General features: G+C 37.7%; 1 annotated feature.

Moving 5' to 3' along the window:
• Positions 389–928: an enhancer, noted in NCBI's record as "NANOG hESC enhancer chr4:35191886-35192425 (GRCh37/hg19 assembly coordinates)". NCBI's record gives its function as "activates a minimal SCP1, AML or CMV promoter by ChIP-STARR-seq in naive H9 embryonic stem cells {active_cell/tissue: H9 hESC(naive)}" and the evidence as "EXISTENCE:reporter gene assay evidence [ECO:0000049][PMID:30033119]".

The following is a 1737-nucleotide window of genomic DNA, read 5'->3' on the forward strand; positions in this document are numbered from 1 at the left end:
AAAATGTAAGAGGTGAAGCAATATCATTTCTTATAGAAAGCTTGTTTTGCATTTCTTATATTTTTAAATGAGAGAGTAGTTTCTTAATGATAATTTAAAATCTTGACACAATAAAAAGACTATTAAATTTGAGTGCATTAATAAGTTCATTGGAAGGTTTTCTATGTTGTATATGTATGTGTCTCTTTGTAGACTACATCAAAGGCAAAAGTGTAATAGTCCTAATGTACAAAGTGCTCTAAAGTCAATTAGTCATTTAAAAACTATATGGTATAGGGGGCTTCCCAGTGTGGCTGAGTTTAAATAATCCTTTGTCTCTAAATAACAACTATAGAACTTGATTAAAATGTCACAAATAACAATTTCTGAACTCTCAGAGTTGACCAACCATAAAGAACTGTTGGGATTCACTCAGGATGGTGGCAGAAATATTAAAGGGAAATATTAGGGAAAGTTATAGGGAATAGACACAAACCTTTTTGGAAGGCAGAAAAGTTACATAGCTTGTAATAATTGAACAGGCTGAAGGCAGCCGGTTCTTACCTTAAAGCATTAGGTCATAGGGTAAATACTAGGGACAATAGGGATTTCCCCAGTTAAGTCTGTTTACCCTACCTCCACTGACTAACCTTTGAGCCAGATGGCCCTCTCTGGGGGAGGTCGACCAAGGATGTTGCCCCCTAAAGATATTTACGTTAAACTGGGGTACCTGAGCTTTAATCACTGGTAGAACTCCTCTCTTACCCATGTTAATTATCCTCAAGCATGTCTACTCAAAGCTTCTGTTGTTTATTGTATACTAAATAAATGCCTGGAATGCAAGCTGCTCAGGGCAGGCCTCAGTGACAAACCTGTCTTGGTGTGCAGGCGGTCGGACACTCAGCAGGACTGGCAAAACAGAATATCTGTGTGGCAGTGTACGTTTTATTCATCCGTCATTTGGGTCAGGGTCTGCGGGCAGACCCCCACAGCTAATGCCCTCTTGTGAGGAGCAATACCTCAAAGAACAAATTGATTTATTCATGAAAATGACTGAACTTCAAATAAGATCAGTGTAGCTCACTTTAGTTGGAAACGAAGGTAAAAAACCTGCATCAGCAGCACCCAGTAAGAGTAGTGAAATCAGTGGCAAATGAACATAACAGGACAGCAACTCTGCTAACTTGAAGTGGTCCTGACTGAAAAAAAAAAATCAATGGATTAACAGGCTAGATAGAAATGTCATAAGGAGATTCTGGAAATAAGATTGACATACAAAAGTTTGATAGCTCTTCAGGTGCTTTTTGTGCACACGTGCACTGGAAACTGAAAGGGTTCCAGGCCATCCGCACATCTCTGGCTGCCTGAAACACTACACAAACAAGCAGAAAATATGCAATAAATTCTGGTGAAAAGTAAGAGTCAGGAAACATCTGAAAACTGACGAATATTAAATGCATTTTCTAACCTACACACAGAATTGAAGTCTTACTGACTCAATGTATTTAACCACAAAGTCCGTCCAATTTAAGCTGACCATTGAGATGTATCACACAAAGGTGTCCCCTAGCAAATCAGGCTCAAATATAAAAATAAGTAAATAAACAAAAAATAAATACAAAACAAACAGAAAAGGGACTTGAAATAATACCTACAGTGACAGAGGCATATTCTACGGGCTTATTTCAGGGAAGTTATTAAGCAAATAATAATAACTCTGAGGGGAAAAGAATCAGAATCAATAGTTACTACATAATA

This window comes from Homo sapiens, chromosome 4 (assembly GCF_000001405.40).
Source record: "Homo sapiens chromosome 4, GRCh38.p14 Primary Assembly".
Classification (NCBI taxonomy): domain Eukaryota; kingdom Metazoa; phylum Chordata; class Mammalia; order Primates; family Hominidae; genus Homo; species Homo sapiens.